Below are 24,058 nucleotides of genomic sequence, written 5' to 3'. Positions count from 1 at the left end.
GTTGAGAAAATCTAGAAAGAAACTCAAGAATCATAATATATTGGTGTGAGAGAGAGATGAAGACAAATTGGGGAGTGAACAGGGAGCAGAAATCTATCACTAAAATATCTAAGTATAATAGACATAAAATATTAAAAGAAAAATGATAAATGACTGTTTATATCATTGTGTTTTGAGGAAAAATTTTCAAAGCATGTCATAAAGATAAACTAAATTCCATTCAAACAAATTCAAATATTTATGATATCAAAAAGTGACACATCAGGAAAATACATTATCTCTAAAATTTGTTAACATAATATAGAATTCTTACAATTCCCTTATGAAACACTAATTTTCAGATTACACTATGCTAAATTTTAATAGTCATTAAGAATTGCATATTAAATAATATATAAAGATTTTTATATATCTACAAAAAATGTAGATATGCGGCAATATATCTACATACATAACATAGGTGGTGTTACAGGTTAGAATACACACATTCTCAGACATGGTGGAGTGTTGTTGAACTTCACCCTCAAAAGCAATGGAGACAAAATAACCATGTAGCTATGCATCTTAAAATGGAGCAAACACTGCAATTTCCACTTAAAAAAATCTCCAATTAATTACACATCTGGTTATTAAAACTCCAAGTTAAATGTTAGATTATTGAAGGTTAGTTAATAGATAATACAAGTTAACCGATAGGTATTTATTTATTTATTTATTTATTTATTTATTTATTGAGATGGACTCTTGCCCTATTGCCCAGGCTGGAGTGCAATGGCCTGATCTCGGCTCACTGCAGCTTCCACTTCCCAGGTTCCAGCGATTTTCTTGCCTCAGCTGAGTAGTTGGGATTACAGGTGCATGCCACCATGCCAGGCTAATTTTCTGTATTTTTAGGAGAGACAGGGTTTCACCATGTTGACCAGGCTGGTCTGGAAGTCCTGACCTCATGGTCCACCTGCTCCGTACTCCTGAAGTGCTGAGATGTCAGGCATGAGTTACTAAACCCAGCCCATCCAATAGTTTTTTCTTTTTTAAAAAATACGTGGTTTTTCTTTTTTATGTAAAAATTGACCCCTCATTTCTATTGTGTAAATCACTATAAATATCATTTTCAGTGTCTTATCCTCCAGCAAACAAAGATACATACATATATGTGAAGCAGTGGTTTTTAGACCTTTTCAGAGTCACAGACTCTTTGCAGAAGTTAAAGTTCTACATTTCTTAAATTGAAAATGCTTTATGGCAGGCCAATGTACAAACTCTCTGTATCAAAATTACAAAGCAATACATTTGCATAGATGTTTGCACACATATATACAAGAAAACAAATATTGCAAAATCAATCTTAAGTACTGAGTTACTTTTCCCTGTTGGAAAGTTTTAAATATTGCTTACTTTGATAATACAACTGATATGAAGTTCTGGGCCCCAAAGTAGAAAACTCTAAAGTATGATGAATATAAATGAGTTCTGCAGAAAACCTGTTGAGTAGCAGCAATTGGCATTCATAAAATCAAATCAGTTTGAAATTTGTGTTATTTCAATCCAACGTTATTACAATTTTACAACAAATTTTAGATATTACTTCAATCATTCTTGTAATACACCTTTAGTACTTAGAAATAAGTTTGCTTATTATAAGTCAATTTTCTGTTCATAAAGGAAATAAATATAATTGAGAAATTTCGATATCTTCAAACTTATTTTCTTTCAGTCCTATGGTTCCATCTTTACATTTTAAAACATTACCCAAGCGTCCTTCATGTGAGGGATGCCATCCTCTTGTTCCTCCACTACTTCCTCTTGCAGATCTCAGACATCCTGAAGGGCTTCTGCTTCTTGAGGAAGCTGGTGGTCTCTGCCTACCACCACTTTGAAAAGATGGTTTCTTGGCTTGTTCTACTTTTATTGCTTTTCCATCCAAAGGCTAAAGTATTAAGAGTATTATCAATAACACTGGCATATTTAACCTAAGCACATTTTACAAGCATTTTTACATCAACTATAGCTCAATTCTAGATATTTTCTCCCAAAGCAAACTTTTGTTTTTTTCTCCTAAAATGAACACATCTTTCACAATGCCAAATTTGAGACATTTACTGAGCACATGCCTTCCATTAAGGGATCAAACACAAATTCTATTATTCAAATTCCTTGAAAACTTCTCCATTATTTAAAAAAAAAATCCTCAAACTAACAAAAAGAGATTAACCCATCAAATATTCTATGGAGGAATGTGGCACATCTGTTTTTTCCCCAATATATCATCCACTTCATCTTTGTATTCACGTCACTAATTTAAAAGTTTCAGTGTCCCAATGAAACTTGTGTCATTTAAAAAAATGAGGTTACTTATTCAAAGTGATTAGTCACATTACTCATTATGAGGTGTTTCTTGTTGGATTTGCTAACACTTACATAAAATATCCCCATATGATTTACAATTCTATATTGACTCTAAAAATGTTTCTGTAAATGTGATCCTTGTTCGATCTCATTAAGTTTTCTTGCCATACTCATTTCTTACATTGCCTTAGACGTGCCCCTAAAAAACGAATCTTAATATAGTACTTCAGGTAATTTCTCAGAAATGCTTAACTATCCTAATTAATTTCATAATAACATTTTTCACTGTAATCTTTTCTACAGGCCACAGCAATTTTTGAAAACAGTTCAGCTAATAATGCGATTTAAAAATTACATGGCTTTTGTTATTTGGAGGAAGGACTTAAATCCCTGAACAAGACCGCTTGCAGCCACATCGCCCGTTGTTCCTACCTTGAAACTTCTTTTGTTATTTCTGGGCTCAAAATATTTTCCCCAGATTTGCCCACGGCTGCTTCCTTCCCAGTGTTCTGAAGTCAGCCAAAATTCCTTAACTGTTAATTCCCCCTGAAAACTCAAAGAACCTCCTTTATTGGCCATCTTAACATTAATGTGCATACAACATTCATAGTTATTTTAACACAATAAAATATGTGAGATGAAGTAATTTAGAAATAACATTGGCCATGGTGGCTCACGCCTGTAATCCCAACACTTTGAGAGGCTGAAGTGGGCAGATCACAAAGTGAAGAGATAGAGCTCATCCTGGCCAACAGGGTGAAACCCCGACTCTACTCAAAGTACAAAAATTAGCTGGGCGTGGTGGCGCATGCCTGTAGTCCCTGCTACTCGGAGGCTGAGGCAGGAGAATCACTTGAACCCAGGAGGCAGAGGTTGCAATGAGCCAAGATCGCCCCACTGCAATCCAGCCTGGTGACACAGTGAGTCTCCATCTTAAACAACAAACAAGCAAACAAACAAAACTCTACACAAATTACCTGCTCTTTTGCTTGAAAATTGCGGAGGGGGGAGAAATTATCATAGATTACTATATGTAAGTCAAAATTATCTCCATACTTACCACAAAGCCATGAACCGAAAGCTACTCTCGGTTTCTAACACAGCTTAAAATATTAATTTATAAGAATGAATAAAAATGTACTTTCTGCTATGTGCCAGGAAGTATGATAGATGTAAGAGAAAAGCAACCAGGAACACTGAAATATGCACTACATACAATTTCACTATCAATAGGTTAATATATGGTACTGTGAGTACAAAATACCTACAATATGCAATGAGGAAGAAAATATGAAATCTAAGTTGTTTTGAAGCATAAATTATTATTTGTGAGACATACACGGGGAAGGAAAATTCCCAGGAAGTCCAAAAAGGCATTTTTGGGATAGCGTAATGACTAACAGGAACTAAAAACAGATTGGGATAATGTTATTTTTCTTTTCTTTTTTTTTTTTTTTTTTGAGAAAGAGTCTTGCTCTGTCACCAGCCTGGAGTGCAGTGGCCTGATTTTGGCTCACTGCAACCTCTGCCTCCGGGATCAGCTGATTCCCATGCCTCAGCCTACCAAGTAGCTGGAACTACAGGCACACACAACCACGCATGGCTAATTTTTTGTGTTTTAGTAGAGACGGGGTTTCAGCATGTTGGCCATGATGGTTTCGTTCTCCTGACCTTGTGATCTGCCCACCTCAGCCTCACAAAGTGCTGGGATTAGAGGTGTGAGCCACCACGCCCAGCCGGATTGGGGTAATGTTACAAAGCAAAAAAGCTCTAAAGGGCCCAGAATGGAATGATATTGACTACAATGTAAAGGAATTCAATAGTTAATAGAATTACATAAAAGTTTAAAGCTTTTGTAAACACACAATCCCTAGAGTTAAGACTCAATAGGACAAGAGACCATTGGTTGGATCAAAACAAGTCCTCAAACACACTGGGACAATGAGTAATTAGGTATTCGTGTTACATAAATCACTCTGGTGACAGGAGAAAAACGTCCTTAGCAGAAAAGAGCAAGGATGGGCCAAAAATGCCAGTTACTTCTTCTGTTATCCAACTTCAGTGTTATCATACGTTTTTCTATTTTCAAGTACTTACCACTTCCTTAAATGTAAAAGTCTTATTTTAATATAGTTTCTCAAGAATATGTTTTTCAGAAAATGAGAGAGAATCTTTCCTTCTTGTGAGTCTGTCTAGATGTCTATCCACAGTTTTTCTATGCTCTAGAAGTAGTTCCATGAATTGGAAGTAATTCCCTTAATAGCATTTAATAAATGTTGACTTATTCCTTTCATTTACATGAGGGCTCCTTATAAGTTTTAAAGCTCTTCAAAACCTTTTAAAATCTATTTACATTCGTATTGAAATACAAACTTAGAAAAAGGTTACCATATATTAATCTATATAATGTTAATTCCAATACCCTTCCAACTACAATTGGATGTATATGGCACAAAGAAGAGCATGGCTTCATATGGCATTCTACTAACTTCAAAAGTTACATAATACTAAAAAGACCTAGAAATACTCTTAATTGAAGAACAGAGTTAGAATACTATTAATAAGGGACTCTTACCTTTCCAATCATATGTTTGGCAGCATTCTTAGCATCTGCAGTGTTCTCAAAAGTAGTAAATGCAAAGCCTCTGGATTTGCTGGTTCGATCCTTTATCAAAAGAACTAAAATACATGAAAACATTTCCATGTATATAATGGACTCACCAAGGTACTAACCATCTGAAAGTTACATCACATCAAAAAATAATTGCATTTTACTTCACTACTATGATTCTTAATACTAAGTCACCCCTATAGTCAGCCTATTTTATTCCAGTTTGTTCCCTAACTCCACAACACATTTACTTTTCCTCATTTTCCTTTCTAAGTAGTAGGTGATCCTTACACAGACCCTTAACCTGCTACTATGAGAATTTTCCAAATATCAAATAGATACTTCAAAATAAGAGTTTAAAAATAAGGCATTTTAATGTAGGTATACAATGAACTTTGAAAACCATACATTTTTTCAAAGCACATACATAACATACATATTTTAAATATACACATTGAAATATACACACACCCATGGTTTTAAGGGTTACCTTCTGATATGGGACCATGTTTCGCAAATACTGCTTTAAACATCTTTTCATTGTTTTCCCTATTTAGGCCACCAATGAAATGCTTGCCAGGACGATCTGCTTCTACCATTGTGCTGCAAGTGGTCAAAGAAAAATCTATATTTAGATAAAAATAAATATGCTAAAAAGATAAAATTTTATTACATACTGTGTTGAAAACTCAAGTAAAATTCCCTTCCAGAGGCTGACATCGTTTTAGTATTTCTTACTTTAAATATATAAAATTTGTAACATACAGAGCAAAGGGGGCACTGATTTCATGGACAAATGCTGCATTATAATCCGTACCTGACAAAATCTCATTTCTATAAATAAGATAAGAAAAGCTATTGTAATTTTACTAAGTTGTAATGTGAAGGTTGCCCCCATTTAAATAATTTTATTTGAAAACTATACATTTATGAGGTACACTGTGATGTTTTGTGTATTTTCTTTCTTGAGATGTGTATCTCCTGTTGCCGAAGTCCGCTGCTCACTGCAGCCTCCTCCACCCAGCCTCCACTGATCTTCCCACATCTCAGCTTCCCAAGTAGCTGGTACTACAAGGGCTTTTTACCACAGCTGTGTAATTTTGTGTGCGTGTGTGTGTGTGTGTGTGTGTGTGTGTGAATAGACACGGGTTTCCCCATATTGCCGAAGCCGGTCTCCAAATCCTGGGCTCAAGTGATCTGCCGGCTTAGGACTACCAAAGTGATGGGATTTCAAGGGTGAACAACCACGGCCAGCGAGATACGCGGATAAAAGATTAAATCAAGCAAATTAAAATGTTCTTGGGGTGAACATTTTAAATATTTTACCATCTTTAAGTGATTTGAAATATACAATAGGTCAAAGATCCCCAAACCCTAGCCTTCAACCCTTACCTATCTGTGGCCTGAATGTGATGCCGGAGGATGACCTGTAATACCTGTCTGTGGAGAATGTAACGCCTGAGGATGACCTGAGGTGGTACAGTTTTATCCGGAAACCATCCTGCCTACTCCCTCGCTGGCCCTCCCTGTCCCCGTGACAGCCTCACTGCCCCACCTGGCCTCTGTCACATTGCTCCTACCGGAAGACCCGCCCCACCACGTGCCCCTCGGAGACCTGCCGCCAGCCCCCACTCCCAAACCTGTCCACCTCGTCGCCTTCTTCCCCTGCGCAACCCTTGTCTGAGGAAAAACTGACTTCCACTAAACCAGTCCCTGATGCGAAAATAGCAATGAAAGAGTCCATTACGTTACCCAGGCTGGTCTCAAACTCCTGACTTCAAGCCATCCTCCGACCTCCACTTCCCAAAATGCTAGGATTACAGGAGTAAGGCAGTGTGCCTGGTTAACAGAATAATTTAAGCGCATCTATTTTGTTCCCATTTTAGGCTATCCAACTCCATTTATCTGGATTACACCCACTTATTCGGTTTAAATTATTTACGGTGCCAAACATACATAAAACATGTTTCAAATACTGTCATACAAGGAAGGAGACCTTTACAGTCTTTACAGAGTCAAAGTTAAACTGAGATTATTTATGGCCCCAGACTTCTACATTAACTAAGGTAACACAATTTATGTCAAAAGTTGATAATTCCCGTCAAGCAAATCAGAGATGTGACATGCGTTGACTAAAAGTATACGTTTTTAATCGCCTTGGTTAAGTATATTGCCTGTATTTTGAATGATGACCACAGTCACAGAGAAAACCCGCTTTAATAAAAAGTGCATATGAAAACAATGGCGCCTTAGCACAATCTCCCACAACTAGTCGGACATATTAGGCAGTTAAAGGTAGAACCCTCAAGAAAAATCAATGAGTTTAACAAAAATGAGTTTCTTAATAGCACTAAGGAGTTCTCTCCCCACTGTCTTCTCCCATAATTCAACACCCACACATAGAAAACCCATCCCCTTTTATAGACAAAATCCCAAACCTTCGCTTTCTATTCTTGCCGAGAGACCCAGCTGTCCAGAGAAACAGAAAATACCTGCGCTTTTTAGTAGGACAAAGAGCCTGAGGTTCGCCTGGCCCTCAGGCCGTACGTAACCGGCTTCGGAACACCACAGGGCCAACTGCGGGAGGGACAGCTGGAGCTACCCTGAGAGGGAAGGACGCCGGAAGCCGTGCCCGGAAATCCCGCCTACCTCCAGCGGCCAATCATTGCGAAGGCGGTGGGCGTCAGCCAGTTACTGCAAAGGCTGTGGGCGAGTCCTGAGGCCCCTCCGCCCCTGCGGGCCTGCAGCTCCATTATGTCGCGGTAACTCTTCCGAGACCACGCTTGTGCCATGTGGCGGGCAGCGGTAGATTGAGGCACAGGCGAACTGTGAGCCCTTTGCAATTGTGGGCTTGGAAGACCTACACCCTAACTGGCATCCTGAGTGTGGCAAGACATTAATTAACCCACAAAGAACACATGAAACATCTTACTTCGTAAGGCAGGCTAGGCTGATGGTACTAAATACTGCAGATCCAGAGGGGAGAGAGAGGGACCAGCGCTGCCTGCTGGGGTGAGGGCGGCGGCGGTGGTTTGAGGGGAGTGGGGCAGGGCGGTTGCCTGTGAGGAAAGTCGACTGGTACGTTGCTGGGGTGGAATTTGTCTGCAATAGAAGCTGAAACCCCACAAGGACTCTCTAAGGTCTAGCCAAATACAGACTCTGAGTTCCATGCTTCCTCCCTGAGGATGCTGTACTCATAGGGGCATTCCAAAGGACTTCTCATCCTGTGCCGTGGGCACATGGGAGGCCAGCCACCATGGTCGCCAATCCGATGACCCGTGTGCACTGCCTTCCTGGCGCAGAGGCTCCCGCAAGGGCAGCAGTGGCCGTCCTGCCTGCTAGCGGGGCTCTGGAAGCCCAGGGCGTCGGCCTCCAACTCCAGGGCTACTGTGTGCAGCTAACCCTGCTGGGTGTCTGGGCCGCATTGCGAGTGGGGCGAGCTGTGGGCCCTGAGGGGCTCCCCGGGAACCCTGCATCCACGTAGGTGTGGGACATGGGTCTCAGCAGGGCAAGGCCCGGGGGCCCCTCCGGCAGATTCCCCTAGGGTCTAGGGGTGCCAGGGACGTGAGATGGGCGGTGCAGGCCTTAGTCAGTGGAAGCCTCAAGGAGGGCATCGTGTTAAGGTGGAGGCTCTGCAGAAGAGGGCGGCCTGTGTGGAGAGCAGGGAGACAACCCTGGGGGAAGAGGCATGCCAGTGGGGGATGACATCATGGCAGAGATGGAGGTGGTGGCCAAGGAGGAGGCCAATGTGGAGCGGCAGCAGGAGGCCCAGCAGGCCCAGCCTGGCCTTGGCCCTAGTATGCCCCCGCCGGCAACGGACTCGCTGGACGTCCTTCACGTGGAGCTGGGCTCGGTAAATGCCCCAGGCCGCGGGACATCCCCGGCTTCTGGGCCAGAGCCATATCCTTGCAGCTGTCAATTCGGGATGGCTGGCAGCAGTGGGTGGGCGCCGAGCTCCCGGGAGCGGGGTTGGGGGAAACAAGGTGGTAGGCACCGGAGCTCAGCCAGGATTCAGGGTATGGGGGACAATGAGAGGAACCAAGGACAGACTCATGCAGATAGAAGGGCAGCAAAATTCCGTGTCCCCTGCGGGCACGAGGTAGGGATATGAAGCCAAGCACAATACTCACAAGGGAGAATAGCAGCTCAAAGGACCCGTCATAAACAGCAGAAAGTCGAAGGACACTTTTCACTGGGAAAATCCCTGAAGGAAGGGGAGTCTGCGTGCCCAGGCCAGCCAGGGAACTACCCCTGCTCCCCGTGCCTATGTCCAGCAGGCTTACCTCAGAAACACAAGGTCCTCAAGACTCGGGTTCACAGTGCATGGGACTGCTGTCCTCTGCAAGGCAGGCACCAGCTCCCCAGACAGGATTTCTTCCCTCTGCCAGCGCTGCACACAAAGATGGTTAGGCCCTGAGCATATATAACCTCCGTTGAAACCACTCGAGTCTCACGGGGAGAGCCAGGCACAGCCCTGCAGCAACTTCTACCCACAGCGGTTCCCTCGGGTGGACAGGCCCACCCCTCAGTGAGACCAGGAGAAGAGGACACCGCACACCCGGACAGCAGCAGAACCTGTCCAGCACCCAGCACACGAGGGCCTCCCACAGCTCAGGAACCCTGAGAAAGTAGCCGCCTCACACCACAACACCCCTCCCGCAACCCCCTCCCCACTTCTTCTGTGCCTGCCTCTGGTCAGAGTAGACTGTCTGGGCCTGCCTCCTCCACCCGCCGCCAGGACCACCACAGCCGCAAAGGTGCCCCCCAGCGCCAGACAGAGGCAGAGGAGCGGGAAGGGAGGGTGCCAGACCAACGGCCTGCACGGTAGCCCTGCCCCACACTCTCCGTGCTCTTGCAAAGTTGCAGGGTGTTTCCCTTCACGCCCACCCAATCATCTGGCGGCTCCTTAACCAGAGGCAGATCGTGCGGCAGACCCAGATGTTGGCCGGGATCACAAATGATGAAGTCCTGCTAAGCTGCATGATGGATTTGCAGGTCAGGCTAAGGAGCCTGGGTATGCGGTAGGGGTCCGGTGTCTGGGTCAGACTGAGGTCCCCCTGGGACCCGGGGTTGTCTCAGCGGGAGAGTTGGGAAGGGGAAACGCATGCTTCACCCCAGCTAGCAGGTCACCTCACCCCAGCTACATGAAATGGTCCTTTGAGTGCATCCTCTTCCTCCTTCTTGGCCAGGTAAGGGGAGGAACTCAGCCATCCCAGGTACCGGTGGCAGGATCAAGTTTTCCTTTCATCACAATCTTTACTTCCACAATGAAGTGACCATTCAGGAGTATTGCATTGGCATCCTAGGTAAGGAGCACCTCCCAGCATGGTAGGGGAGCTGGTGTGTGGGAGGGTAGGTCTGGCATGAACCTTCCTGACTCCTCTCTCTCCAGGATACAGGGAGTCTCATTCCACTGCAGTCCAGTGGTTGTGGGATCATGAAGGTCAAGCCTCCAGCTGCAGGCAGTACACTTCCTACCTGAGCTTCTTCAGCCCATTGGCTGACTGTGACTGCCCAGGTTCTGGCAGGATTCCTGAGGTAGGCGCCACAGTGGGACATCATAGGAAAGAACCTTGCCTTGGCTTATGGGGAATTGACTTTGAGCCATGACCTGACCTGTCCTGTACCTACATCTGCAGTCCCCCAGATCATCAGCCAGAGCCTGCCACTCAGGATGCCAGTTAGTGTGTAGGTCTTCCATACCCACAATTCCAAAGGGCTCAGAGTCCACGTGTGCCAGGCTCAGTCCCCTGCAGTACTTCTCCAGGGAGGGAGGCCATTAGAGAGGGAACAGAGAAGAGGCCAGGTGAGCAGTCTAGGCTGGGGACTGAGAGGCCTTTGATCCCTGGAGTTGTGCCCCACATGGAGAATCCAAGCCTCAGGGAGGTGACTGCAGTGAGCAGTCCCAGGCCATCCATGGTCTGGCGGAGAAATGGCCATCTGGGAACTGTAACACCCTCATTTCAGGATTGGGGAACCTCAAGCCACCTAAGAGGTATAAGGATCTAAGGTCAGTGGGTAAGAAGCAAGGCTCAAGGGGCAGCTGTCTCATCATCCCTCGCCGGCTCCCTTCCATGCCCTGAGGCCGGCTACCACTTGAGGCTCAGTTTGGGCTCAACCAAGGCCCTCCATGCAGATGTACCCGCAAGGCCTGTCTCTATGTCCTCCCAAAATGGCTCTCCGAGGCCCATCATTTTCTGTTATAATGACCCAGGGGTCCCCTGACATGCTTTCTCCCCTCTGGGATCATCACTCACACTGCCCCGCCCCCTGAGACAAGAGAGGCCACTACTCAGGGCATCTGGAGGACCACACTGTGCTCACAGGGGAGGAAATGTGAAGAGATTGCAAAATGGCTGGGACCTTCGGTGTTTGTCCAGGGAGAGAAACTGGCTGGGATTTAAGGCCCACCTAAGTAGTGGTGTGGACACCCAGTGTTACTTATCATGATGAAGACATGCTTTGTCACATCCCCTAATATTAATATGGAAGTTATTTTCTTAGAATAGTGAAACAATGAGTACAAAGAAATAGTGTTTGTTCTGATTTGTACGGAAATGCTGCAGACACATTCATTTTTCATTGCAATTCTTATAGGAGACTTGAAACGTTTATTCAGTTTTAAGACACATTTTGATTGTTCTGCTCCTGGCAAATTTTATGGTCATGTTTGCAATGTAGAGATATAGAATCCAGAAAATTTTTGACTGACTTTCAGCTTCTTTTAGAGTACTCAATTGCACATTTTTATTTATCCCCTATGGTTCTCTTCAGTTGATTATTTGAACTTTACATGCAAACTGATGAATTTGTTTTCTTATTTGCCTCTTGTGGAACTTCTGTTTTAAAGGACACTTTTTTCTGTTAGATATATGAGTTTGACCATGAGTACTTTTTCTAGTATACATTTTTGTTTTCATTTGTTAGTTTTGTGTGTGTGTGTATTTTGAGAAGGAGTCTCACTCTGTCACCCAGGCTGGAGTGAAGTGTCAGGATCTTGGCTCACCTCAACCTCCACCTGCCACCTTCAAGTGATTCCCCTGCCTCAGCCACTCAAGGAACTGGGATTACAGGCACATGCCACCATGTCCAGCTAATTTTTGTATTTTCAGTCGAGACTGGGTTTCACCATATTTGTCAGGTTGGTCTCCGACTCCTGTCCTCAAGTGATCCACCACTTTGGCCTGCCAAAATTCTGGGCTTACAGGCGCAGGCCACCACACCCAGCCTCATTTATTTGTTTATGTTTTTGAAGCCTTCCTCTATTTTCTTCAGGGGCATGTATTTTAGAGTTATTGAAATAACATATTTTATTTATTTACTCAATAGTTTAGTAAGATTTTAAAAGTAATGTATTTACTCACTAAATACAATATTGTGAATAGGTTAAACCTTTTGTAGTGTTGTCATTCTCTCTTTCATAAATTCTTCAAGAACTCTGATTCTGTTTTTCCCTCACCTGAGGAGAATATGCAGATAGTTACAAAAAATTGTCTGACTGAGTGGGTATGATAATATAATTTGAAGGCCAGGTGGGGTGGCTCACATCTGTAATCCCCACACTTTGGGAGGCCAAAGCTGGTGGATTACCAGATTTCAGAAGTTCAAGACCAACATGGTCAACATGGTGAATCCCCATCTCTACTAAATATTCAAAAATTAGCTGGGTGTGCTGGCAGGTGCCTGTAATCTCAGCTACTCGGGAGGCAGAGGCAGAAGAATCGGTTGAACCCGGGAGGCAGAGGTTGCAGTGAGCCAAGATGGTGCCACTGCACTCCAGCCTAGGCCACAAGAACAAAACTTTGTCTCCCCTGCCATCCCCACTCCAAAAAAAGCACCAAATTTATATAATTTTCTTAAAAGCCAGCATGGTTTTAATTTTATTGTAGTCATCACCTGCAGAGACTGTTTATGTTGGAGGAGCGATTACAGAAATCTGAAAAATCAAGGCCTGATGAGAATACTTAAATTAAGCACACTTCAGAAGCCCAAATCTGAAAACTGAAGGTGTTTCTGACATAACAGCCCAAATTCTGTATTTTTTATCCGTTGGGAGGTGTAATATTGCACATATGAAAAACAAATGCAGTGTTAAATAAAAAATAATGTGATTAAGAGGAGTCACTGCTTAGTAAGTCAAAAGGACACACAAATAAATTGAGAAGAAAAGAAAATGAAAGAAAATGTATTGTCTGTTGATTTAATTCAGAATAATTTTCATTTTGTCTCTTAGCATTAATTAGTACCATTACAATAATCTAATTTTTATATATTGACTTCTAACATGTGTTTTTTATTTTGTATAGTTGGAAACCTGATCAAAGATTCTTTATACATTTTATTTTTTCCCAAATTTGCTACCTAATAGACCTAGTGCTAGTTGCCTGAATACCTCTCACTAAGTAGTTTGTCTTTTCCTATTAATTTTAATATGAACTTGGTGTGTATTTTGTTGGCATCTTTACTAAATCTACAGGTGTTGAAGTTGTTCAGATCTCAGTCATGGATCCTCTTGGGTTTTCTCAAGGCTGAAACACCCTTTCTATGCTGACCATTAAGAAATTCCCAACTTCAGGCCAGATCTTTGTTCTACCTTCAGACTTGGCATATCCAACTGCATGCCTTACATCTCCACATACCAAAACCAGACCTTCATTTCATGCCCAAAACATGTTTCCTCCTACGATATTCCATTATTTCAGAAATTCACAGCACAAAATACCCTGTATTTCAAGCTAGAAATGTAGAGGATGATCCTTGAGGCAGCCTTTTCTCAATGACTCTTCATCATTCATATCCAACTCTTCACAGGTTGTGTGTCGTCTCCGAGAATTACATAGTCTTAGTAAATAAGGAGTGGCCCATAAGTCATCTTCAATCATCCACTTTTTTTTCTCAATTCATGTTAGTTTCTTTACAGAACAGCTGGAGCTCTGCAATGTCAATGTTGAAGTAAGTACCATTCTCTGCCAGTATTACTATTTTATGTATCAGGAGATAAATGTTCCTTAAAAATGCCCACACAAAGCTATACTAAGTAACACAATTAAATGATGTCTTTATTTTACAGAAAAGTATAAGGCAAATAGAATTGTTATTATATGATCTCTATAACCACACATAGGTACTAGATATTTTAGACCCCACTTCATACATCTGAAATTTGGGTCTCAAAATAATTAACTTCTCTTAAAGTCTAATTTCAGATTAAAAAACTACCTCTTTCCACAATATTGTGCTATCTCCCTTCAAGAACCAGCTGGGGAATAATTAAGAATAAAATAAACGTCATTTTCTTCAACATCTCCTAGCTGAGCCAAATTCTAAGTTTTCTGTGGAGATGTTGTTATGTGCAATTTTGCCAAAACTTTTACAACTTTAACCACAGTTATGCTTCAGTGGCCTGCCTGCTCATCCAATAACTGGAGGCCCCAGTGTCTAATGTTCTGATGTTTATTTCTGTGTACACCCAAGTTTTAGTTCCTATTCATAAGTGAGACTATGCTGTATTTGATTTTCTGTTTCCTCATTAATTTTCTTAGGTTAATGACCTCTAGCTTCATCCATGTTTCTGCAAAGGACATGATTTTGTTCTTTTTCTGGCTGTGTACAATTCCAGGTTTCATATGATAAGGCGTGAGTTTGGACCAAGAAGGCTTTCTGCCAGAGCCATCAACGCTGTGGAAATAAAACCGTCCACAAGTCAGGAAACAAAACAGTCATTACTGGTAATAGTAACTGTAAAACCTCTCACAGATTTGATTTCATTTTTAATTTACTGTAGATTAGGCAGCATGACACAGAATACCCTGCCCCTAGTAGTATGCGATTTGACGACAAATGTCAATTAGATTTGGTCATTGAAAACTACAAGAATCTTAGTTAACACCATAGTTACATAAGTAATTTTAACAATATATACCAGCTTATTTTAAAGTTTCAGTTAGTCCACTAGAGACCTAAATGTTATTTTAAACATAGGTCAAAATTCATGTGGATAAGGGGTAAAATGGCAAGTTTTTATTTTTATTCATTTCTTTTTGGTTTTATGCCAAAAAGAAAGGGTGATCCCTTATCATCACAGTATTTACGTGTTCAGCCATTAAGGAGAAAGAGTATCCAATCCCACTGCTTTCCTGCATTGGTTCCCATACACAAGCAAATGTGCTGTGTTAGTGACTATCAAATATTCTTATATTTGATGAAGGGAAATTTGTGTTTCCAAACTGTAAAACAAAAATATTACTATCAGTTATATTTTTATTATTTATTTACTTTCATTCTTTCCTTTCTCTCTCCCTCCCTCCCTTCCTTCTTTCCTTCCTTCAGCCTTTCCTTCCATCCTTCCTTCTTTTCTTCTGTCTTCCCTCCCTCCCTCCTTTCCTCCCTCCCTCCCCCGCCTCCATCCCTTCTCCCCGTCTCCTCTCTCTCTCTTTCTTTCTCCTTTCTTTCTTTCTTTTTTCTTTCTTTCTTTCTTTCTTTCTTTTTCTTTCTTTTTTTCCCTCTTTTCTTTACCTCTTTCTCTCTCTCTCTCTCTCTTTCTTTTCTCTATCTCTGTATCTCCCTTTGATTTTTTTTTTAGGTAGACTCCTGCTCTGTCACCTAAGGTGGAGTGCAGTGGCATGATCTTGGCTCACTGAAACTTCCCCATCCTGGGTTCAAGCAATTCTTCAGTCACACCCTCCCAAGTAGTTGTGACTGTAGGCCTGTGACATAAATCCTGGCGCATATATATATATATATATATATATATATATTTTTTTTTTTTTAGTAGAGAGCAGGTATCACAATGTTTGCTTAGGCTGGTCTCAAATGCTTGTCCTCAAGTGATCCACCCACCTCAGCCTGGCAAAATGCTGGGATGTCAGGCATGAGCCACAGTGCCCACCCAGTTTTATGCATTTCTCTCCTCAGTGATCTCTCCTATTTTATTATTTTATTTTACTTTTATTTTTGAGACAGAGTCTTGCTCTGGTGCCCAGGCTGGAGCACAGTGGTGTAATCTCAGTACATGGCAAACTCCATCACTGGGATTCAATGGATTCTCCTGCATCAGCCTCCTAAGTAGCTGGGATAACATCCATGGGCCACCAAGCCCAGCTAGCTTTGGTATGATATTAGACATGGGATCTTGCTATGTTGGCCAGGCTTGTCTCGAACTCCTGACATGAAGAGATCTGCCCACCACGGCCTGCCAAACTGCTGGGAGTGCAGCCTCCATGCCCTACCTCATATCTGTTCTAAACCTCAGTTGATAAGCAATATTGTCTTCCTGGAATGCTTTATGTTTACAAAACAACTACAGTACTATTATTTAGCCCCTTCAGGTAAAATATGGTAACATAGAAAACATATACACACAGACACAGACACAGGCAGTGATCAAAATATGAGGGTAGGCCAGGATGTAAAATGAAAGATGTGTTGCTGCAGTTGACTAGAATTAAACCAGACCAGAGCTGACCCTTACCCAGATAAGAGATGTGAACAGAAGCTTTCAAAAAACTCTATCAGTTGCATGTTAGATTATTCTCCAGCCATAGCAAAGGGACATTAAAGATCTGTTGTGTTTAGAAGAGTCTTGATAGTTTGACTTTTCCAGGGTAGCATTCGTGACATTGGCCTTTAAAGCTCTCCACAATTACTCAATTACTCAAATCAGTAGACAACTCAATTATCCAAGGAGTCTGAAGTGCTTTTTAAAATTATGTAAAACTTAGTGGCTTAAAACAATAATTATAGTTATCCTAGGAGTCTGAAGTGCTTTTTAAAATTATGTAAAACTTAGTGGCTTAAAACAATAATTATAATTTACTATCAGTCTCTGCAATCTTCCACAGTCTCTCAGCCAAATGATTGTGGTTCAGGGTCACTCAGGAGGATGCAATCTAGTGATGGCTCAGGATGGGGACATTGTCCGGTGTCTTCTCGTCTCCCTGGTGCCATGGCTAGGTTGACTCAAAATAGTGGGGGCTGGCCTGCTGAGATCTTCAGGCATCTCCTATTTCTTTTTCTTTTTTCTTTTTTTCTTTTTTTGAGATGGAGTCTTGCACTGTTGCTCAGGCTGGAGTGCAGTAGTGCCATCTTGGCTCACTGCAAATTCTGCCTCCTGGGTTCAGGGTTCAGGCCATTTTCCTGCCTCAGCCTCCCAAGTAGCTGGAACTACAGGCGCCTGCCACAAAGCCCAGCTAATTTTTTGTACTTTTAGTAGAGATGGGGTTTCACTGTGTTAGCCAGGATGGTCTTGATCTCCTGACCTTGTGATCCATCCACCTCGGCCTCTCAAAGTGCTGGGATTACAGGTGTAAGCCACCGTGCTGGCCTTCCTTCTATTTCTGTGAGTCTCTCCATGGGATGTCCTTTCAGCATAGTGTTATCAGGGTGTTAGACTTTGTGATGTACTGGTTGGGGGCTCCTGAGGGGTTTGTCCCATGAGAGCAGGAGATTTAGTTAGAGCTGTGTCACCTTTTCTAACCTAGGCCAGAGGTGTCCCAGTATCCAGAGAAGGCTTGCACTGTTTTCTATTCATTAGCAGCAAGTACTGTATTCAGTACCACCAGGAATATTTTCAAATGGGTTTGTGGAGAATGTGACTGAGACCACTACAATGGCCATGCCTAATAATTACTTATTTTTATAAGTGCTGGATGCGTTTTACCCAACATAATAGCAGATACAGACTTTTAAGCTTAAAACCTAAATGTCATAGCTCCAAACATTTGGTTGTATGTTGAAATAACTCTCAAGCAAAAATTGATTTTGAAACGAGAGCTGTAAATAAATAAAATAAATGACATAAACTCATAAATATCTGGAAGAAATGCTTATAAAGAGGTCAGCCTTAAAAATGTCATGAGGTCTAATGTGCCGCTCTTCTATTTCTATGGATAGTACTTGGACAGGACAAGGACTCAAGGGTCTGCTGGTCCATCTCTGCACCTTGAAACAGTGGCTAGGGCACCAGGAGTAATGCTTCCAGCCAAAACCATGTGGTTAGTGTGAGGAGTCCCTCCGGGTTAAGGAGTGTGTCAGCATAATGTGACCTGAAGAAGAGGTATACCTCATAGGCGCCCAGGATCAAGGTCTCCGGCACACATTGAAATCCCCCATGCCCAGGTGTGGTGAAGTGAATCCCTCAGCTGGTGCTGGGCTTCCAGGTGTGTCCGGGAACCGTTCCCTGGGCTGGGAAGGATCTCTTCATTCCCTTGCCATGTGGGAGGGTAAGGCTTGTGGCCTCATCTCTGTATGTTCCAGCTCTTTCCCTTCCCATTATCCCACTGCTGGGTAAGGCGGCAGGATCTCGGAATCTACAAGGGCCCTGGGTTGTTGACAGTGCCTGTGGGTGGCCATGTACTAGGAGGAGGGTCACTGAGCCTACCTTGAGCTTGGAGGCTGGGAAGGAACACCCGTGTGGCACTGGCTGTTCCGGAGTCCAGGAGCCCGTCCCGGAGAAGGCCGGGGGGAAGTCGTAAGCCTGTGGATCTGCAATCTAGGTGGAATTGCTGTATCTGTCATGGCAAGACACCCACTGGGTGGAGAGCTGGGCTTGTGCATTTTCCCCATGTCCTGAAGAGACCCAGCAAGACTGGCTCCCCTGGGACCAGTGACACTGGAGACCTCCTCTGGGTCCACTCAAGCTTAAGCTCTTATGTGCCTTGCTTCCTATCCTCCCAGGTGAGGCATCCTGGAGAGGATGTGCGGGGCGAAGGTCATATGAGCACCTGCAGCACTGGAATGGGGTGTCACTGGCCTGTTAGGCCGTTGCTCACCAGGACCTCTCCTGAGCTCCTACGTGGCTTAGTGGTAAGTGTCCCATCTACCCGACCCCGCAGCCCGGGTTTCTCCTCCACTTACAGACCCGTGCCCTCTTGGGGAGAATGCCAGCCTCCCTGGAGACTCAGGCCCTGCAGGACCCACATGCTGTCGTCTCTCATGGGCTAGACACTCTCTGGTGCACAGGGATTCCCAGACAGTGAATCCCAAAGCCCTGCAGGTTCTGTTGCTTCTTCCCTGAATGCCTGCCTTCCCCGACCGAACACACAGGAAGACACAGGTAGCTACTAGGTTTTATTTCCCTCCGGATGTCATTTCAGGTCCATGACATCTCCTTTAGGTAGTTCGCCCAGCCACTCTTTTCCTCCTACCTCTGCCATTCATGAGAACTGTGAGGACTCTTCGTGTCTCCCCAGCGGGCAGGCTTCACGGGTCCTGAAGTTGGATTGTCAAACCCAGTGGTCCCCTGCTTGCCAGCTCAAGAGCTGCGTTTGAGGCACACCTGTGGGTGGGAGTGTGGGCCCCACCTCTGGCCAAACAAAGGTACACAAGGGGAAACAGGTGCAGGTGTGTACAGGCGTGCACCAGCTCAAACATGCAGGCTGGAACGTGCACACGCTCACATTGGTACCAGGGAAACTGGGTGGGTGTCTGGGTGTCTACACCAATACTCAGATGAACCTTAATGCTCAGCCACATTCCCTTGCTGGACACACACAGAAGGTCCCCTGCCATTTAATTGATCGTCTACAGTGGGATTTATTTTTACTTTTATACTTTTTTAACTTACCAAAGTATGTTGCATTCTTTCCCCCATCATGAAAAAGACTTTGATATAAGTAAGGAGGAAAAGCATTTTTTATAATAAAATACTTTATCTGCATCTATACTATTAAGGCATTATACAAATTTTATGTCTGTTTTTTAATGTCATAGGAAATGTCTCAGTGCCAGCGCAGCATGAGTGAGGGTGGCAGAGGGGAGAAAGCATGTCAGGGGAACCTGGAGTCTCTGAAACACAACATGATAGGACTGGTCATTCTAGAAGGATGTAGACCTAAGTGCACCTCGTGTGTACCTCTGCGTGGATGGAAAGAGGGCCTTAGTTGAGCCCAAACTGTGTCCTGGGTGTTACCAGGCCTCAAGGCACAGAAAGGAGCCAGAGAAGGATGATAAGGCAACTATCCATTGAGCCTTGTTTCTCACCCATTGACCTTTGCCACTTCTGCCTTTTAGGTGACTTCAGGTTCTCCAATTCTGAAATATGAATGTTACAGTTCCCTGATGGGCCTTTCTCCCCCAGCCCTGGGATGGCCTGAGATTTCTCACTGCAGGCTCCTCCCTGATCCTTGATTTCTCCTTGTGTATCCCAGCTCCAGGACCCACAGGCCTCTCAGCCCCAGCCCTGGGCTGCTTACCTGGCCTCCTCTCTGTTCCCTCTCTCAGGGCCTAACTCCCTCCAGTAGTGCTGTGGGGGGGATTGAGACAGAGGCCCTGAATGATGATCTGGGGGACTGGGGAAAGGCATCCGTGACTTGTCAGGTCGTGGTCCAAAGCCAATTCCCCAGACGTCAAGGAAAGACCAGAAAGGTCCTTTCCCATGATGCCCCGCAGTGGCCTACACCTCAGCAATCCTGGCTGACCCTGAGTAGTCATGGTCAGCCAACCAGCTGAAGAATCTCAGGCTGCATCCTGCATGAAGATGGAGGTTCCTCCTGTATGAGTCTAGAACCATTGTACTACAGTAGAGCCAGTCACCCTGTATTCTGGAGCAACAGGAGTCCGGAAGGCTCATGCCAGGCCTAGCATCCCACACTCTACCCCCTCTACCATGCCAGGAGGCACTCCTTACTGAGGATGCCAACATGATACTCCTTAATGATCACTTCATTGCATAAATAAAGTTTGTGATGAAAGGAAAACTTCATCCTGCCACTTATACCCCGGGTAGCTGAGTTCCTCCACCTGCCAGGCCAAGGAGAAGAGTACAGACTCAAAGGGATGATTTCATCTAGCTGGGCTGAGGGCCTGCTGGCTGGGGTGAAGCATGTGTTTCCGCTTCCCAGCTCTCCTGCTGAGACACCCCTGGAGTCCAGGAGGAACTCAACCTGACCAGGACCCTCGACCCCTCCCCTAGACCCAGGCTCCCCGGCCTGATCTGCAAATCCATCCTGTAGCTTACTTAGTAGGACTTCCTTATGCTTTCTGAACCCAGACAATATCTGGGTGTGCCCTACAATCTGTGCCTCTGGTCAAGGAGCCTCCAGATGATTGGGTGGGCATGCCAGAGAACAACCTGAAACTTTGCAAGATCTGGGAGAGTGTTGGGCAGGGCTATCCCCCTGACCTTTGGCCTGGCACCCTGCACTGGTGGTTCTGTCTCTATCTGGCATGCAGGAATGGTAGAGGGTGTGGTGGTCTCGTGGGCAGGTGGAGAGAGGCCCAGAAAGCCTCGCCGACAATAAGCTGAGAGCACAAGTAGGCAGGGGATTTTGGTGTGGGGTACTGTGGTGTGAGGCAGCTGTTTCCTCAGAGTTCCTGAGCTGCATGTGGCCCTTGTGCACTGGGTGCTGGACAGGCTCTGCTGAGGGTGTCCAGGTGTGCTGTCCCCTCTTCTCCTGGTCTCCCTGAGGGGTGGGAGTGTCCACTTGAGGGAGCTGCTATGGGTAGAAGGGACTGCAGGGCTGTGCCTGGTGCTCCCCATGGGGCTCGTGTGTGTGCAACAGAGGCGTGTGTGCAACAGAGTTTACATATGCTCAGGGCCTACAGCTCTTTGGGTACAGCGAGGCAGAGGGAAGAAAGCCTGTCTGGGGAGCTGGTGCCTGCCTTGCAGAGGACAGCAGCCCAGTACACCAGAACCCGAGTCTTAAGCACCTTGTATTTCTGGGGTAAGGCTGCTGGACACAGACATGGGCAGCCAGGGTAGCTTCTATGGTTGGCATGGGCTTGCAGACATCCCTTCCTTCAAGGACTTTCCCAGAGAAACATGCCCTACAACTTCCTGCTGTGCATGAAGTGTCCTTGGTGCCACTATTCTCCCGTGTGAGTGCTGAGCTTGGCGCCCAGTCCCTACCACGTGCCCTCAGGACACCCTCAAGCAAGCTGCCCTCCTATCTGCAGGACCCTGGCCTCAGCTCCCTTCGCTATCCCCCATTCCCTGCCTCCTGGCTGACCCCTTGTGCCCCTTGCTTGGCTCCCCTGCTCCCCACCCCAAGAAGCCAGATGCCCACCCCCTGCTGCCAGTCATTCTGAATGGGCAGCTGCAAAGATGTGGCTCTGGCCCAGAAGCTGGAGATGCCCTGGCTGATGGCCTCTGTGCCATCCTCATGGTGATTTATACCATGTGTATATCACATGGCTAATGTAGCATTCTCATAAAGGAAACCTTGAAATGTGGCTGCTACTTAGTTTTTATTTTCAACTGTTTCAGTCATTGTTATTTTTCATATGCTTCATAGGGGCTTTTGAATTTTAAAGAGAATACATAAAAACCAAAAAGAGAAGGACAATGAAATTGTGAGACTACAGTCATAATAATTTCATTAATTAATTCAATGGTTTAGAGAGCTAGATTAGATTATATTTCTCCCAAAAGATTCTCGGAGAAATTCTAAGATGACGCACCCACTGTTTGAAATGGCTGTTAAGGTTGTTGCTTAAGTTAGAGTTAACTCTTTTTAAAGCCTGAAGGTACAGTAATAGTTTCATAAATTACAACACGGAAAATAGGATTTTTAGTGCTACTTGCTCTCACCAGAAATAACCACAACTTTTAAACTGTTCTTTATGTCAAATTAAATTTTTTGTTTTTCTACCTCATGTTTTGGATGAGGCAAGTATTTTTAAATGTATTTTCACCATTATCATACTTCTGTGAGAAACTGCAGAGTTAAATTAATATCATAATTATCTTTCAGTTCTACTTGTCTGTTCCTAAAAGTTCACATAAGTAAATAATTCCATTTATGCTTGTATCTTTCAGCAACATTATTTCAGATAACAGTGCTCATTACTGCAGATATCATATGTACAGGTCCGAAGGGAGAAGAAGAAGGATCAAGTAAGCTTTTAAGTCTATATATTTGTAACACTATATCAGAAACTCAGTAGTTATAATGAAATAAAAAAATGATCACAATCAATTCCATCTCATACCTAGCCTGAAATAAGAAGCTTGAAAAGAAAAGAAAGTTAAGAACTTTGGGCTTGTCAAAATTTTCCTATATGAAAAAATTATTGGTAACTTTCTCTCACTAGAAAACATAAACAAAAATTCATTCTTCATATATGTGTAAATAAAATATTTTTATTTCCTTCAGTTATGACATGCAAGCAAGTAATAAAGTGAAAGTATAATAATAAAATGATATAAGGAAATTTGTCTGTATCAAAAAATTCCATTGAGGCTATTAATTTTACATAAACCATAGAGAATGTTTCATGAAACTACATTATACACTACTTTTTGGTATTTTACTTACATTTTAAACAATTAACAAATTAAAGGAAATTCTTAATCATTATTTATTACCAATAACATTATACTTGAGTAATCCTTTTGGGATTAAATATTTTCAGTAAAACTTTAAAAACAAATTGTATTGACTGATATCAGCTTTTGATGAAATAATACTTCTGTATTTGTAGTCATGTGAAGTATAACTTTCTTCTCACAATGGCTCTTATATAACACCAGTGTTATTGTTTTCTCTGATACAAACCCTGTGATATCTCATGGCTTTTCTGTATCCATACATTACATGCCTCCAGAGAGTAGGCTTCAAACAGTAGGAAAAATTTTATCTGTGACAAAATTCTAGAAAAGGGAATGGTAAAATGGGAGAATAATTTCTAAATTTCTAACTGTTCATCAATGGATTTGGATGTATTTAGATATAGACAAATATTTGCACACTGAAAGTTTGCACGTGTGTATAAATTTAAATGACATACCCATATGTATCAGTTGTATAATCTTTTAATTAATCCTCAGTTTTACATGTGGGAAATTTGAAAAGAGTTTATCCTTACCAAATACTCAATTTGAAGTACTACACTCAATGTGATGTAAAGCCAACAAAATCTCTATTAACATTCATTTCAATTAATCCAATAATGTTAACTGCAGATAGCTTCATTCTTTTCATTCTCCTTGTCCCCTGTTGGCAGCTGAAAGTTGATTCTCATAACATCAAACTCCTGAGTAAATAAACAACAGATGTGTGCCATCATGTCCAATTTAATTAATTAATTGCTTACATTTGTAGAGATAGGTATTGCTATATTGTAGAGATAGGTCTGTGCTGGACTTGAACTCTGGACTTGAAG

The 24,058-nt window shown here is 43.3% G+C and overlaps 1 long non-coding RNA gene and 2 pseudogenes across 2 annotated transcripts; 2 read left to right on the top strand and 1 right to left on the bottom strand.

Annotated features, from left to right (window-relative positions):
- Window positions 1-214: 214 nt before the first annotated feature.
- RBMY2FP (RNA binding motif protein Y-linked family 2 member F, pseudogene) lies at window positions 215-7,561 on the bottom strand (annotated as a pseudogene). Its single transcript, NR_002193.2, has 4 exons — window positions 7,450-7,561; window positions 5,448-5,560; window positions 4,922-5,025; window positions 215-1,927 (listed from the first exon to the last, which is right to left on the bottom strand). The product of NR_002193.2 is annotated as an RNA binding motif protein Y-linked family 2 member F, pseudogene (transcript).
- Window positions 8,527-11,992, top strand: TSPY22P (testis specific protein Y-linked 22, pseudogene; annotated as a pseudogene).
- Window positions 17,544-19,622, top strand: TTTY5 (testis expressed transcript, Y-linked 5). The gene is made up of 2 exons (NR_001541.1): window positions 17,544-18,114; window positions 18,632-19,622. It is a non-coding gene; the product is annotated as a testis expressed transcript, Y-linked 5 (long non-coding RNA).
- The last annotated feature ends 4,436 nt before the right edge of the window (window positions 19,623-24,058 follow it).

The sequence above is a fragment of the Homo sapiens genome, chromosome Y (assembly GCF_000001405.40).
Source record: "Homo sapiens chromosome Y, GRCh38.p14 Primary Assembly".
In the NCBI taxonomy this organism is placed as follows: Eukaryota; Metazoa; Chordata; class Mammalia; order Primates; family Hominidae; genus Homo; species Homo sapiens.
Note: the sequence above shows the minus strand (reverse complement) of the source record. Positions and strands in the feature narration are given on the sequence as shown.